The sequence below is a fragment of the Homo sapiens genome, chromosome 1 (assembly GCF_000001405.40).
Source record: "Homo sapiens chromosome 1, GRCh38.p14 Primary Assembly".
NCBI classification, from domain to species: Eukaryota; Metazoa; Chordata; class Mammalia; order Primates; family Hominidae; genus Homo; species Homo sapiens.
Genome location: NC_000001.11, coordinates 245,863,952 through 245,880,890, shown reverse-complemented (window position 1 = coordinate 245,880,890; position 16,939 = coordinate 245,863,952). Strand labels below are relative to the sequence as shown.

General features: G+C 44.7%; 1 protein-coding gene across 19 annotated transcripts in view, besides 1 other annotated feature; it reads left to right on the top strand.

The window, feature by feature from the left end:
- The window catches only part of SMYD3 (SET and MYND domain containing 3), a 757,933-nt gene that overhangs the window by 626,389 nt on the left and 114,605 nt on the right, over positions 1–16,939 (top strand). The window lies entirely within an intron of this gene.
- Positions 9,995–11,194: an enhancer, noted in NCBI's record as "CDK7 strongly-dependent group 2 enhancer chr1:246032999-246034198 (GRCh37/hg19 assembly coordinates)". NCBI's record gives its function as "activates an origin of replication core promoter dependent on BRD2, BRD4, P300/CBP, MED14 and CDK7 cofactors, with strong dependence on CDK7, by STARR-seq in HCT116 cells {active_cell/tissue: HCT116}" and the evidence as "EXISTENCE:reporter gene assay evidence [ECO:0000049][PMID:35650434]".

The window sequence follows — 16,939 nt, the reverse complement described above, 5'->3', positions numbered from 1 at the left end:
CAACTGTGATTGTAAAGTTAATTAATCTCATGAACTAAAAGCTGCCTCTTTCCACTTACATCAGGGTCTTAGTTCTGCCCCTTGGAACAATAAAGAGCAAATAGGTTTCTTGTCCCACCTACCAGTCTTCAAGTACTTGAATATTTGAGGCAGTGTGGTGTAGCAGAGAGCACTCAGGTTTCTGAATTATACAACTGGGAGTTCAAGTCCTTCTCCACCACTTTGTAGCTACTTGAACTTGAGGAGGTTAACCTGTCTTTCTCAGCTGCAGTCTTGTCTTCTATAAGGATTGGACTGGTTTTTACCTGATACTTCGTTGAAATGATTAAATAAGATACAGTGTTTAAAGTAATTAGCACAATAAACCCTCAGTAAATGTTGTTGTTGTTATTTGGCCTGCAGTTGGCCATCTCTGAAACTCACCTATATCTATAAAATAAGGAAAATGATTCCTACCAAGGAGTGATTCAAGGCTGACATCAGTTAATCCTAAGATATAGTTGGTTGTTCAGCCAGCCAGCCAGGAACCTATATATACTTTCTCATCCTAACCAGATAGCCTTATCTTACCCCCAGAATATTATGAAGATATTAACAAATCCTGGTTGAAATCGAACAATATGGTGTTAATAATATTTGCCCCATATACTTGTATAATCTCCATGGAATTAAATGAGTTCAGATTGGCAGGATTTGTTCTTGGTGCTGCAGCTGCAAGAACAGCATTCACTAGAGACAGCAGCGGTGTGCATGGCAACTGTGCTATCTCTAGTGTGTACAGCAACGCACCTGTGCTATCTCTGGCGTGTACAGCAACGCACCTGTGCTATCTCTGGCGTGTACAGCAACGCACCTGTGCTATCTCTGGTGTGTACAGCAACGCACCTGTGCTATCTCTGGTGTGTACAGCAACGCACCTGTGCTATCTCTGGTGTGTACAGCAACGCACCTGTGCTATCTCTGGTGTGTACAGCAACGCACCTGTGCTGTCTCTAGGGTACACCATGTTTTAAAATTCTTAATAAGCATTGGTCAAAGATAGACATTGACTTATTTGCTTGAAGACTTCCATTACAGAGTTTTATTTTTATTTTCTTGAGACCATATTTGCCGCCACTCTGGTCTTCTGCTGCCATTCCCTTTCTCTCAGTTCTTCAGAGTGGAGTAAGAATAGTTTCATGACCATATTTTCCAAGTTCTTTCACTGTCCTGGAATATAGTTCAGCTGGAATTAAAGATGGGAACTTTTCTAAGATTCCTATTCTGCTCTCTCCTGATGAAGAATAACTTCTTTGGGGAGAAAGGAAAAACCCTAAGAATTGAGTAGCTTTCTGTGATCTCTTGATGTTTCTCACACGCTTGAAGCAGCGACTCTGTCTCTTCCATGCTTTCTCGTTGCTCAGAGAGCACTGAAGCGTTTCTCATCACCTCGGTTACTCAGCGTTGTCCTCTTACACTCTTCGTCTCCATCGCAGTGTTCTGCTGCCTACTCCCCATCTCTTCTGTAACAGCACAGCTCATGTGCATTTAGCGGTTACTGCGAGCCAGTTGCTATGCACAGCACTTTGCATATTATCTCATTTAGCCCTTAGGCCCACCCTATGAGGTAGGTCATCTAGTCCTATTGGGAAATGCTTATCAGCTGTTTGTGAGCAGTGTGCTCAGATGTTGTTCTAGAACGTGAACCTTGTACAGACTAGAAATGCATAAAGCAAATGGGAACCTAAGCGACTGTCAAGCATTTTCAGACTCATAGTTTCCAATAGTTTAATGACTACCGTGCCCTCATTATCAAGATTATAGCTGCACTGAAAATGGAAATGGGGAGATGGGCAAGCGGTTCTCAGATGTGTTAACATGAAACCTAGATTAAAGAAATAACACTGCTCTTCCTGGAGGCCAAACAAATACAAATTGGTTTCATGGGCTAAACTGTAGTTGGAGAAAAGGGGCATTACTCTTTTGAAAATCTTAGCATAGGCAGCTTCCCTTCTTTCTCTGCCGGAACCCATGTTTGTTTACACTCACAAGCTCAACGCCCTCTTCCTGCCATCCCTGCGTTGTCCCTCTCCAACCCTCCAACTGCTGATGACATCAACAGTATATTCCTGCAGTTCAGGCCCCTGTAATGCAATGGGGCTGTGAAAGTCACAGGATCCTGCAGACAGGTGCTGGGGCTGCTTCTGGCCTTCCCTCAGCTGGGCTTCCTCCTTGCCAAGTTGTCCTCAGCTGGCCCCTTTTTACCCATTCTCTATAGCACTCCCAGACCCTCACTACTGCTCCATCCTCCTAAGCCTCTGCTGTCTCTTGATTTCAGTAGATAGGGAAAAAGAGTCCATCAGACATAAAGCCCATCTCAACTTCCCACCCTGCTGACTTCCAGATGCAACTCTATCTGCACCCATTCTGTCTCTTCCTGTTAGAGGAAATGGGGACCTCCTTGCCAAAGCCGAGTCCCCACCACCCGCTTCTACCACCTGTGCTCTTGACCCTACCCTCTGCCTCCTCGTGGACCTCGCCCCCCTTGCTGCCCCATCTGTTGGGGTCTGCCTTTCCGTGTCCACTGACTCCTTCCCTGTGGCATAAACGTGCCCACACTTTCCCGTTATAAGAAACAAACTCTTTTTCCAGCTCAGCTCTTGCCTCTAACCATTGTTTCCTGTTTAATCTGTGAAACCCCTTGAGTCATCTGCACACTTAATGACCCTGTTTGTTTTCTCTTAACTCCCACAATAGGAGTTATCACTCCCCAAAGCACGCTCTCTCTGATGTCATCGGTGAGCCCCTGATTTCAAATCCATTGACCTCCTTTGAGTCTCTTCCCCATTGATGCCATTGTTGAGTTCCACACCACCTGTCCCTTCCTTCCTCCTCCTGGGAACACTCTCCTTTCGTTTCCGTGCCCTCCTTTACTTCTCCGCTTTGCCCCTGAGATTCTTGGGCCCCGTTGGATTGGGTGATTTCCTCTGTCGCATATCTTCAGATTCCACCTGCGTGGCGTTGACTTCCAAGTCGACACTTCTCACTTTCACTTGTCTTCTGGGTCTAGTTTCATATTTCCCGCTTCCTAGGGGTAACTGTACCTGGATTCTCTGCAGACATCTTATATTAGCATGTCCAAAAGCGAACGTCCCTTTCCTAAACACCTTTCTACATTCCCCATCTCACCGGAAGGCTTCGCCATGCACTCAGCCACTGAAGCCAGATGCATGGCCGTTGTCCTGGAATCCTCTACTCTCCACAGACTTACTCCCAGGTTATCATCTTGTTACACTCTCTTGAATTGTTCCTTTTCTCTTCAGTCTCTCTCTTCCTCTCTCACTGTTGCTAAGGCACGGCCTTATTCAGATTCATGTCATCTCTTTCTGGATTGTTGAAACATCTACCTAACACCTTCCGCCTTCAGTCCCTCCCACCTGCAAGTGTATTTTCCACGTAAATATTTGAAAAACATAGAGATTATACTTAAAATCTCCCCATGTCTCCATGTTGCCCATGCAGGATCAAATTCATTCTTTGATCTGACCCCTTCCCTACCTCTCTACCTCATATCTAAACCTTTATCTCCACCCCTTTCCCCCGATGAACCGTTTAATTCAGCTTTATGTTTTTGGGTCTGTGGGCTCATTCTGAAGTAGCCCTTCAGCTTAGTGGGGAAAAGAGCCTCTAAGGAAAAGCAGCCTCTGAACAGCAAGTAACTGCAGACCTAGTAGGGCAGCAGAGGGCCGGGGAGCTGCCCCGTCTCCGCAGCGCCGCCCTGCCATGCATGAGTGAACCAGAAGCACCCAACAGCGTGGCCTCCCCAAGGACCTCTTTCTCTTCTCTGCTACTGGCCTTCCTGCTTGTCTCTCCTTGTCTAATGCTTCCATAGCCTCCAAGCCTGAACTCATGCATCCTCTTCTCCGGGACATTTTCCCTAAATCCCGGCCAGGCAGAGGGCTCTGCCTCTGTGCTCCCATAGCCTCCAAGCCTGCACTCATGCATCCTCTTCTCCAGGACATTTTCCCTAAATCCTGGCCAGGCAGAGGGCTCTGCCTCTATGCTCCCATAGCCCCAGGGCTTACCTCTCTGTTATCACGTGCGGTATTTAGAAATGATACATTTGTTTGGCCGTTTCAACCACTGGAATGTAAGCTGAGGCCACATCTCAGCTGTGTCTTCTCAGATCCAGTACCTGGCCCTGGAGTGCACTGGGGAGATGTTGTCATATATTGAGCTAAAGAGCACCTGAAGGGCATGAGATTTATTCCCCGTAGTGCCACAGACTTGGTCACTTTTGTGTCTATTGTAAATAAACTATTTGTGCAAAAGCAGAGAACATGGGAGACAGAACTGTAGATTGAGCAGACAAGAAAAAAGAAAAGCAAAACCATCAATACTTGCAGCAAGTCTTAACCATGTCGGCACGAAGAGTGACAGCATGATCGCAGAGATTCGGAGCAATGGCTGAGGCGGCAAAGGCCACGCTGATGGTCCTTGGCCCAGACTGTGCATTGGAATCACCTGGGGAGCTTAGAAAAGATACCGGTATCTGCCTGCCCCCAAGAGATGCTGATATCATTTGCCTCGATGGAACCCGGTCTGTATTCTTAACAGCTCCTGAGGTGATTCTAAGTATATACCCACCTTACCTTACTAGGCCCTTACAGCAAAGAGGAGAGACAAAGCTGGAGGAACAACAGGTCTGCAGTTTGAGGGAAAGTCGGAGCCCTCAGTATCCCTTAAAGCATATTCCTGGGATGTGTGTGTATGTGGGCATGTCTGTGGGTATCTGTGTGTTTGCACACTCTTGGTAGCATAGGGGAGGAAGTAAGCTCTCTGCAGCCCTCTGGAGTGAATTAAAGCCTCTGATACATATTTTAAAAAGCACATCCAGAGCTATCCAGCTTCCACTGGTGATGAAGACCTGGGACTTTCTCATATTAAGTCCTCTGAATGAAGGTCTGGGTACCCCTTGTTCTTGCACAGAGCAAGAGGGATTTGTAAGTTTGTTTACCTCCGGAAAAGAAATCCTTGCGTATTTTAGTTGGTAAGCATTTACAAACCTTAAAATCTTACTTTCAGAGTAGTCTCAAAAGTTAAATGGAAAGTAAAACAGAAATGGTAAAGGCAAACAGCTAGGGCTGTGTAATTTTGGCCCACAATGAGTATGACCCAAAATGAAAACAAAAACTAATCAAAAGGTAATCATTTCCTAAATCTTCTGTGACTGGCATCGTAGCATTCCCTTGGGCAAGAGGAAGAATATTAGGGGTATGAGAAGCATTATATCATCTTGTATACTCAAAAAGCCATTTTGAACATCCAAATTTGAGGAACTTCATCAGATATCAATATAAAGATGATACCTATACTGCTGGGGACAGATTTGAGGTTTGATGTTGCCCACATGCCAGGTTCTAATGGAAGATGTGCACGACTCAGGCGGCTCAGTGAGCAGTTCTCTGGTAGTAGGAGTATTCTGAGTATATAGTTGAATATCTATTTCCAGCTCTCCCCACAATTTCCAGCATGTTCTGAGTGAAATCACTTGCCCCTCCCTGTACCTCCTTTCCTTCCTGTGCAGTAGGGACCTGTCTGATCGTCATCTGCTAATGTTTATGAAGCTCCGTCAGACCTTTGTCTGGAAGACTCTGTTAACAGTAATGCATGCTTGGTTTATGAGACGGTTACAAGAGAATGGAGGTGGAGGCAGGGTGCCAAACATGGCCAGTACTTTTATCTTTGACATTACAAAGAGGTCCTCTGGCTGAGAGCCAGCCTGGAGTTTACTGGAATCAAAAATGCAGACATGTGCTTTCTGTTGGCGTGCCAGGAAGCGGCTCGCCGTGCCGTCAGCCAGCACTTCACTTCCATGGCTGCAGAGCTGCTTGCAGGAGCGTCTAAGTCCTGGTGATTTTGTGTAGTCTGTCTCATGGATACGAGGTGAGGCACAAAAGAGCTGTACCATGGAATCTGGTCACCCCTCTCTCCTCCCAAACTTTACAAAGTAGTGTTCTCCTCACCAGACCTTTAGGCCAAGTGACTGCCCTCTGGGGTGACCCACCCTCCAGCTTCAAGGGACAGATCTCTGTATGGATTGATTCACAGACTACAGACTTTTCTTTTTTTGTTTTAGAATAATTGGAGGAACACTGGCTTTTTTTCCAGTGAGATACAAAATACAATTCTAGAATTTTTTTTTAAAGGCTGAGAGATTAAAGTAATTTCTTTCCCTCGAACAGCGACATGTTTCTTTTGAACTTTTGGCTTGTGTGACACATGGTCTAAGGATTTCAGTGCTGCCTTATGAAGTGTTTGTAGAACGGGATAATTTCTGCAGCCCAACTCTGAAGACTTAGGGGACGCTATGGAACCCTCCATTAACTGATGTTAAGAGAGAGGTTCTAATGTCAAAATAAATCATTTCTTTAGATGACCCGTAAGATTGCCTCCTAAAAAGCTATGTCTAGACTTGTGTCTCAGGGACTTGTTATGTGAAGCTGTCATTGTGGACCCCAGCTAAACTATTCCTTTAATTCAGAACCACAGATTAGATAATCTGATGTGCTCGCTTTAGCAGATAAGCAAATACCATGTTTACCCAAGCTTGGAATATTGCCTGTTATAATCATTATACATACAAATGTTAGAGGGAATGTGTGAATTAAATAACCATTGTCAAATTCTTGGTTTGGCAGAAGGTAGTACCATGTTGAGTGTTGTCTTCAGTCCTGTAGACTCTCTGTGCTATGGCTGGGGTTGTTTATACTTGAGAAAACTCAGTTTAAAATAGAATGAAGGAGGGACAAATCAGAACAAAGGCATTTACAATTTGTTGCACAATCACAAACCCCAGCAACCTTCCTATCAGAATTTCAGGTCTGTTTTCATGGACAACATATACTTTACACATAGGCGACTAATGGAGTGGAAGGATTAGTTTCCATGTCAGTGGTAACCCTAATGTAGTTCTCACCTGGGCAAGCGGAGCCAGGAGGCACTGTTAGACTCTAGGCCTCACAGCTGGCCAGTGGCAGAGCTGGTACCAGGGCCCGGCCTCCTTAGTTCCACTTCCGTAGTGCTGCCTGTCACACAGTCTTACATGCCAACAGCACAGAACCCAAATCAAGCTATCATTCATCCCATGTCTGAATGTCTCTGGAGTGGCCACATCTAGGTTATCCTATAACCTTCGCCTTCGGGACACTGCCCTTTAAACCTCACTTGAATCTGTTCTGCGGCAGCTTAAAGCATTTTTATCTCTGTTGGCAGAGGAGAATGAGAGCATCTGTCCTCAAAGAAGAAAATACAAAAGATGGAGATGTGGCCGATTAAAGGAGATGAGGGCTGCAGCTTTGGTCTTCATTAAGACAAAACTCACCCTGAACTTTGGAGGTGTACTTTATCTTAATGGCTATTGTCAGGAGAACAATTTTCCTGTAAAATCTTTGCATTTTTCCCAGAATCTCAAACCTCCCACCTGGTAGCGTTTACACAACAGTATTGGCAGGACTTGGGTAGGAGTTGTGAGTATGGGCTTACAGCAGCCTAAGCCATCCATTTGGTAGTCTCTCTACAGATGTGAAAAGAATTTGTCTGAATGTGCATTTGCAAGTGGAGCTCATAGCCCTCTGTGTCATCTAATCCCCATTATATGTTATTACATCAGGAACATACCTTTCCAGTATGGGGGGAGGGTGCAAGCAAGTGTCTCCTTCCTAAATGTATTCATGTGTGTTTAACTGCCTTGTATATCAGCCCATCATGCTAGTTTTCTACAAAATGCTTTTCTACAGAAGGCTCATTTTTAGCAAGCACCACTGACAAGAGGTAGGCTCTCAAACTGCCCTCAACGTGTAGATGCTGTTTTTATTCTCTCCAGGTTGACTTGATTTTATATAAGCAAATAAGCTTATTTCTCTGAGAAGCAGTTTTATTCACTGGGATGGGAACAACCCCACACAGAGGGAGGGGAGGTGTTGAGGCTGTAGCCGGAAAAGGCCTTTGGTGGTTCTAGAAGTTCTGACTTCATACCTTCAAGGCTGTGCTCCGTTTCCCAGAAGCTATGAAGGGAATATCCCCTTCCTTCTGGCAATTCTGTGTAGCTGGAGATTGAACCTTGAAATCGCAGTTGGTTTGAATGTGTGGTTTGTGGAAATTTGTAGTTGCAGGAGAGCCCTGTTTCTGCCTGAGATCTAAAGCTAAATGGGCATTTGGCAAATGCTGGCAGCGACGGTGGGAATGTAAAGTGAAATGGAACAGAGCTGCCAGTGGCTTCAGCTGTTTGATGACTTCTTCTCCTCACCACGAGCATTTTTGTTTGGATTGGGCTCACAGCCCCTGGTTGCCCAAGTGCTCCTCAGTTGGATCCAAGGGAGTGACGGGGCTGCCCGACGGGAGAAGGCTCTCTCATCTGAGAAGAGGACATCCATCCTGGGGTCGGCCAGCTCAGGGAGGCCGGTGAAGGAGAAGGCGGCAGGAACTCTGGGCTCTCTCATCTGAGAAGAGGACATCCATCCTGGGGTCGGCCAGCTCAGGAGATGGGTGAAGCAGCAGGAGGCGGGAACTTTGGGCTCTTGCGAGGATGCAAGCAGCTGCTTGGACTCACAATTCAGAGCCCTGCTACATCCTGCTTGTGGACATCTGTTAAAGGCACTGAGATCCCACAATTTCATGAAATAGATGAAAAAATAACCTTTTAAAGCCAATTTTACTTCACCTGTGGGCTGATGACAGCATCTGGAAGACATGCTTTTCATCTGCATCACAGTTACGCTCATTGCCGCCAGGCAGTAGAGCAAGCATCATGAAAGCCAGTGGGAAGTGCACAGGGATTGTGCCTGTGGATGTCAGAGGCTGTTTGGTGTGGTTTGTGGTGGATCAGAGAAGTTTGCTTGGATGACTACGTTGAGGAAGAGCCTTCCCGGCAAAGGGAATGGGATGTGCAGAGATGTGGGGTCACAGCATAGTTGGTTGTTGATTACATTGTAATGTGCTCCCTCCTCCACCATTTTTTTCTTTCCCACCAAACAAAGCTGACTCTAGTCAGCCTCCTGTTGGTCCCCGCCCTGTAGGGTGGGGATTGAAAACTCAGGCCACTGTGACATTTAGGACGTAAGTAACTCTAGAGGGTGCAGAGGAAAAGATGAGAAGGTGCATCTCCTTAGAGAATCGTTACCACTGAAGAAATTGGGCCTCTGGAAGGTTGAAGGACTTGCCAAGACTACACAGCTCGGCAGCAGGGATATGCAGCAGGGATTCAGTTCCACATCTTATGGCTCCAAGCCCGGCATTCTTTTTCACTAATTTCTGTTAATCGTTGTGTACATTTGCTGATTAATTGCTAATTAGAACATACTACAATTTGATCGTGCTTCAACCTGAGAACATTCCTTCCTTTTCCTTATTCCCCAGCCTATAATGTCCACTGACTGGTCTGTAGTTGATATAACAGTGAATGCTCTATTTTTAGCCACTATTTTTCCGCTTTATGAAAGAGCCACTTTTCCCCTCAAGTTACATCTGAACTGCTTTCAGTTGTTTTTGTCAAAGGAGGTGGAAATTGGTTCCAGCACAGATGTCTCCTTTTAATCATAAAGGTTTTGAATGATGTTGTATATTAATCTAGTCCCAGTATATTGCCCCAACCAGACTACCTCAGTCAAAGACACTGCAAATTACCTCAGAATTTTTAATTTCAAGACTTTCCAATCTCTCTCTTGAGTGCAGACACTGTATTTGAACCTCATTCTACTTTAAAAACTAAAACTAAAAACCTTTCTTCCGTTTAAGACATGAATTATTGAATTACTGGAAAAGTTTGTAAGTGTTCATTAATTTTTTATTTTTCATCCTATACTCCATCTCTCTTCAATCTAATTAGAGTTTGCATGAGTACTGGATAACAGGAAGTACTGGGAAGCAGATTACCTTTCTCCTGTTCCTCTTCTTTTTAATGAGAACCATCTGAAATTGGCCCAGCATACGAGTTTCAACATCAAACGCTTGCAAGCTAAGTGAACACATCTGTTCAAGTGTTCGAGCTGCAAGGTGGGTCTGGATGGATTCGTGTGTTTAACCTGACAGAGCCCGTGGTCACTTTCTCAAGTTTATACTCAGCTAGCCTGGCTGGACTCCAAACTTTCCCTATGGAAGAAACGTAGCTTTGTAATTCACAGTGACTACTGGTATCTGGCAGGTAAACTTCCCACTCCGAAACCCAAAGGAAGCGTTTGGCCAATTGAATGTAACCGTGTTGAGTGATACCCTTTTATGTGGTGGTGAGATGATCTCATATCATCTGGTACCTATTTTTACAGTTAAGGAAATGATCCTGGGGTATTGATTCAGCAGCTATGGATGAAGGAATGTAGGTGGCCTCACTGATTCATGCAGGGATAGATGGAGCGAGGGACCTCTGGGCCAAGAGCGCCATTAGAATCTCAGGATGGTGTTTGAGGTAGAAGCCAGGAGAGGTAAGCGAGCCCACTCCCCAAATAACCCTTGACGCGATTGTCAGAAAGCGTGGGTCCGGAGCCGGCGTGGGGTTTCCTGTGCTGGGGGAGGGTGTCACACTTAGGCTCTAAATGATGACCAATGCCAGCTGTAGTATTTGACAAATACCCACAGCTGCGGTGGGAACGTATCTGATCTTAGTGTAGTAATATTAGAGTCAAGGTAGACGTGTGCTGTGAAAGGAACAACCTGTTGTCTTGGTTGGGATTCTCTTTGTTGTGGTGGAGTTAAGGTATTTTATTCTTGTAATACTGTCGCCCATGGGTTGTGGAAGATCACTTCTCATTCACTCTATCACCAAATATTTACCGAGTGATTTACCTTGCAGGCACTGGGAATACAGCTATGATGAGGTCACGGTCCCTCAGGGCGTTCTGAGGATACCTGGGGAGGCAATCCAGGAAACCATTCGTGTCAGTTCAGGGCTAGGGGCTGTGCAGAGGGGCCTGGAGGGCCAGGCTAACCCAGAAGGCAGAACCAGAGAAGGTTTCCTGATAGAGTACAGCAGGGGCTGTGTCCCAAAAGGACAAACGGGAAGAAAGCCAAAGACTTAAATGGAGTGGTGAGCCGAGGAAACAGCAGAAAACACGCTGAGTCCTGACAGAAGCCACAGGATGGCGATTTTAGTTGGAAGAGTGGGTGCAGTGAAGTCAGAGATGGGCGTGGGTAGGATTTTGGGGTGGAGCTGTGAGGGGAAAGAATGGGGTGAGTGAACTGGGAGGGCGGTATTCAAGGGGCTTGTGCGGTCAGAGAGAGAATGGACAAATGAGACTCGTTCTTACCTGAGAACAACGGCACAGTTCTGTCTTTCATAAACTAGCTCTACGATTGTACTGTTTAAAATAAAGACAGGCTTTTGAAGGACTTCTCCGGGGCTGTGCAAAAGAGCAGTCACCAGAGATGGAGCTAAATTGGTTCTGCACTGCTGAAATCACTAGAGTGGTTACATAGCAGCCATCCAGACTAGCTGCTCCTTCTGCAGGTGAGGAAGGTGAGGGCCAGGAAAAGGAAGACTTGCCCGGGGTCATGCAGTGGGTCAGGGCAGAGATGCCACCAGCGCTGGAACCAGCAGGTTCTTCATTCTCTCGATCATTTCCCAGGAAAGTCAGCTTTCTTAGGAATCCTTCTGCTTCTAGGCTGAATTCTTTTTAGCATTTGTAGAAAATCCAGCAATAGTATATTTGATGTTTAAATGAATGTAAAATGAATGTTTCCATCCCCTAAAAAAAAATTCCAGGACTCACCCATTCAAGCTCCTTTTATGTGGTAAAAGTAAAATTCAAAGAGATTTTTTTTTTCCTGAATAACTTTGTCCTGAATTATATCAAGTGTCTTTGTGTTTGGATATGAAATAATGGAAATAAGGATATAAATTTACTAATTTTATACCTCAGGGACTGTGATAAAAAACAGTAATTTACTCTTCTATTTGCAAATTAGGAAAGTAGAAGATTAAAATTATGCTTCCCTAAGTAGTTTTTCTGTTTCTGTCCTGTTTATACACCTGTGCAACTGAATGTTTTCCTCCAGCCTGGTGTGGAGAGAGGGGAGACGTGACAGACCCAGTGTAGACATAATTGTGAGTAGCAGCCACAGTGGGATGGGTAGGGTCAGGGGAAGTTGGAACCTGAGAGGCAGTTACCGTAGTGGAACACTCCAGGGAGGTGATAGCTATTAGTGAGTGTAGCTTTGTCTAGCTCCAATATAAAATGCTCTCAGAGGTATCATTTCTAAATGTTTAGGAGCAGTTTCAAAGCTTGCTTGCTCTTCTGTTAAGCAAATAAAGGCTTAGGATCAACCTAAAAGAACAGCTAATCAGGTTATGTTCACTGGTGGCAAATTTAGTTGTGACTGTAATTCCCATATGAAATTGTTCTGCCCTGGGCTGCGGTCTCACCCTGCTTGATAGAAGAATACGAGATCTGCTGTGGGTTCTATGTTGGAGGATTTTACTCTCCTCTTAGAATTGCTAGTACTAGATAGAGCTTAGGAAACAAGGGTGAAGATATTTTGAATTGATTAACTCAGATATGAGTTTCACCTTTTAAGCAAGTCCAGGAGAGAAATCAAATTGAAGCATGAAGGTACTAGAAAGAGCATGGGCTTTGGAGCCAGACAGACCTGGGTTTGAATCCTACCTCGGCAATTAGGGGTAGAAGGACATTTGGACCAATTATGTAAGCTTCAGGATTATCTTGCACCTCATCTGTAAATAACAAGTATTGGTGCCTTTCAAAGATGTTGTGAGGAATAACTGAAATAAACACAAGAGACATCAAATCATTACCAAGTTAGTTCACTTCTTCCAGATCCATGCTATAGACATTCAGCAGAGCATTTGTTAAATATAAGACTGTGCTAGATATTTGGGAGAGGCAGGATCAAAGAAGAATAAGACCTATATTCAGCTCTAAAGAGCTTACAGTTAAGTGGGGAAGATATGACATGCACACACTGCAGTCCACAAGCTCTGGCCATGCTGGCCTCATGTTCCTGGAACATTCAGGCACGCTTCTGCGTCCGCACTTGCCCTCCGCTCTTCCTGGAACTGCTGTCTCCTACTCCTTCACCTCCTTTAAATGAGCTTTACTCAAATATCACTTTGGTGAGACCTTCCCCGATCATCCTGTTTAAAATGAACTCCCTGGTGCCAGTATTCCCCATCCCTCTTCCTTGTTTTTCTCCCAACAAAATGTGTGTGTGAGTGTGTGTGTGTGTGTGTGTGCGCGCGCACGCACACGCACGCGCATGCACATATCTTCTCTTGCCGTGTGTTCCACCTGCCTCTTCAGTATGAACACCATGATTATCTGATTTATTTACTGCTCTATCCCTACTGCCTAGAACAGTGCCTGGTTAGGTACTCAGTAAGTGTTAATGGAATAAATGAGTGATCTAACTAAGTAATTCCAGGTACAGAGAGGGCCAGGCACAAAGAGCCCCAGTGGCCAGAGGAGCAGAAGGTATGTTAGGGACTACATTTTCTGTGGCTGCTGTAACAATTGATCATAAATATAGCATCTCAAAACAACTCAGATTTATTATTTTAGAGTTCTGTAGGCCAGAAGCCTGACCCAAGTCTCAGAAGGCCAAAATCAAGGTGTGGGCAAGGCTGCCTTCCTTTCTGGAAACTCCAGGGGACTGGTTCCTTGCCTTTGCCAGCTTCTGGTTAAGTTCTTCTCACAGCACATCACCCTGACCTCCTCTTTTGCCTCCCTCTTCTACTTCTAAGGACCCTTGTAATTATATTGGACCCACCTGGAAAGTCCGGGATACTCTCAGCTATTTTAAGGTCAGCTGATTAGCAACCTTAATCCCATCTACAACTTAATTCCCCTTTGCAATGTGGCCTAACATATTCACAGGTTTGGAGAGCAGGATGTGGACATCTTTGGGGATCCATTATTCTGCTTACCATAGAGACTAACATTTTGCTTAGATCTAGGGTTTAAGCTGCCAGTTGTGAAATGTAAAACTGGAACATTCAATCAGGAATGACCATGATTGTTAAGGTCTAATGGGTGAGCTTGATCTGGGAGGCAGTGGGAAGTTGCTGAAGGCTTTGGTGCAGGAGAGGGAGGTGATCTTTAGGAGATGAATACGGGCTTAAAGCAGGCATTTGAAGGGAGACTGTTGTTTACCTTCTTTTCTTTTCTTTTTTTGAGGCAGAGTCTCGCTCTGTTGTCCAGGCTGGAGTGCAGTGGCGTGGTCTTGGCTCACTGCAACCTCTGCCTCCCACGTTCAAGCCATTCTCCTGCCTCAGCCTCCCAAGTATCTGGGATTACAGGCGTGTGCCACTAGACCCAGCTAGTTTTTATATTTTTAGTAGAGACGAGGTTTTGTCATGTTGGCCAGGCTGGTCTCAAACTCCTGACCTCAGGTGATCCACCTGTCTCGGCCTCCCAAAGTGGTGGGATTACAGGCATGAGCCGCCGCATCCAGCCTGTTGTTTACCTTCTTAAGGGCATTTTATCTCCTCCCTCCTCCATGTACAGAAAGTTAGGGATGTATTTAGAATTAAAAAAAAAAAGTGCACCTATGGTGTCTTTTTAAAATCCACTCTACTATATCACACAGACACACAGCACATACACATAGAGGCCCACAAAGCCCAATTATGCAGACACAAGTGCTCCTATCTCCTCATACACACACCCACTGCCCCAGCCTCAGAAGGAGAGTCTCAGGATCTGTTTTCTGTGGTTCGTGGTGCTCTGCCCCTCCCTTTGTTTCTGCCCTGGCACACTTGAGTGATATTTCTTCTTCCCAAAAACACAGACTGACTCTGGCAGTGGTTCTCATGGGGTCGTTCTATAAACCTCCTTCAACGGGCACATGACAGTCTCCAGGGGGATGTCTAGAGTATGAAAATGTCCCTCGTTCCTCACCCTTATGTCATCCTTCACACTGGCCCTGCTTTCATGTAACTTCCTAGGGTGGTTCTTGTCTCTGACACCCGTTGAAAGTCTCATGGATAGTGAACACCTGGTTTTGAATAGTGTCTTCTAAGAGTGCTTACCCTTTGACTAGCCACCTGAAAGCAGCACTGTCCAACAGGACTTTCTGCAATGACATAGTGAACTGTTCTGTATCTGGGTTGTTGAGTGTGGTAGCCACAGCCGCATGCGGCTGTTAGCTTCTTGGAATGTGGCTGCTGCAGCTGAGGAACTGAGTTTTTTATTGTTTGAATTAATTTAAATTGAAATAGCCACACCTGGCTGGTGGCTACCTGTTAGTGCAGCTTTAAATAAGCAGGACTTGCTGAGCATGCTGAAAAGACCATAGCAGTATCTGTGGCAAACAGAGTAATATTTGACAAGAAGATAGCCTTTTGGAATCAAACAGACCTGGGGTGAAATTTTGGTTCCAGGCTAGTGATTGTCAGGTAAGTCACTTAATCTGAGTCTCAGTTTTGTCATGTATAAACTGGGTATGATCAGTGATATATTAGGGAGAAAGATGTTAGACACCCTCTGACCTGGGGGGAAGAAGAATATTTCACCTCTGAATTGTTGCACATAATAAACATCAGACCTACTTTTCGTTGGTTTTTATTATTATTTTTTAGTATTCTATAGACAGTGTGCCCTCTCATTGCCTGACCCAGGGTAGACTTTTTCCACTCCCTGCCTGTGTTACCCCATGGGATTTGACCTTACATACATAGAAGAGCTATGTGAAGATACTTACATACATAGAAGAGCTATGTGAAGATAAGACGATATCAGTAAATATCAGTAAATATCAATATCAGTAAATATCAGTAAAGCCTTCAGCATTGTGCACACATGTGGTTTTCAGTCATTCATTCAACAAGTGCTGAGTAAGCAACTACTATGTGCCAGGCACTGTGCTAGATGCCAGACGTACACTGGCCAACCGGAAGCAGAGGACCTGCTTACTGAATAGGAGGGCAGACATTTCATACATGGTAGCTCATAATTTTCTTTTGAATTTTTTCAGTGTTGGGGGATTTTGTTTTTAGTTTAGGTGGAAGTCAGAATTGGGTCACATGGGTGTAGTTGTACTTTATACTTAATAAGGTTTTAGCTGTAGGTCTCCTAACAAATAACTATTTATCCTATTCTTCTGTTTTTTTAAAATATCAGCATTATTGAGGTGTAATTCACCTGTGATGAAATTCACCCAGTTAAAGTGTACAGTTCAGTGGTTTTCAGTCTCTTTACAGAGTTGTGCAACTAGCATGGTGTCAATTTTAGAGCATTTTTATCACCCCAGAAGAAACTCCTACCCATTAGCAGTGACTCTCCAGTTCCCTCCAATCCTCTTAGCCCTAGGCAACCACAAATCGACTCTGTCTCTGTGGATTTGCCTCTTCTGGGCATGTCATATCCATGGAATCATACATGTGGTCTTTGTGATTGGCTTCTCGCTTAGCGTAACGTATTCAAGCCTCATCCATGTTGTAGCAGGTATCAGTACTTTATTGTGGAAAGGTTCATCCATGTTGTAGCATGTAGTACTTTATTGTGGAGTCATATTCCATTGTCTGGATATTTTATTGATAGACGTGTGAGTTGTTTCCATTTTTTGGCTATTATGAACAATGCTGCTGTGAATATTTGTGAACAAGTTTTTGTTGAACATACATGTTCATTTATCTTGGGTAGATACCTAGGAGTAGGACTGTTAATATGGTAACTCTAATTGGGAACATGAAAACTCTACGTTTAACCCTTTGAGGAACTTCCAGAGTGTTTTCCAAAGCTACCATTTTGCATTCTCATGTGCAGTGTATGAGGGTTTCCGTTTCTCTGCATCTTCACTAACCTTTGCTGTTATCCTGTCTTTTTGATTATAGCCATGGTAGTGGGTATCAAGTAACATCTCACTGTGGTTTTGCTTTATATATTTCCCTGATGATAAATGATGCCAAGCATCTTTTCAGGGGCTTGCAGGCCATTTGTATATCTGGGAGAAA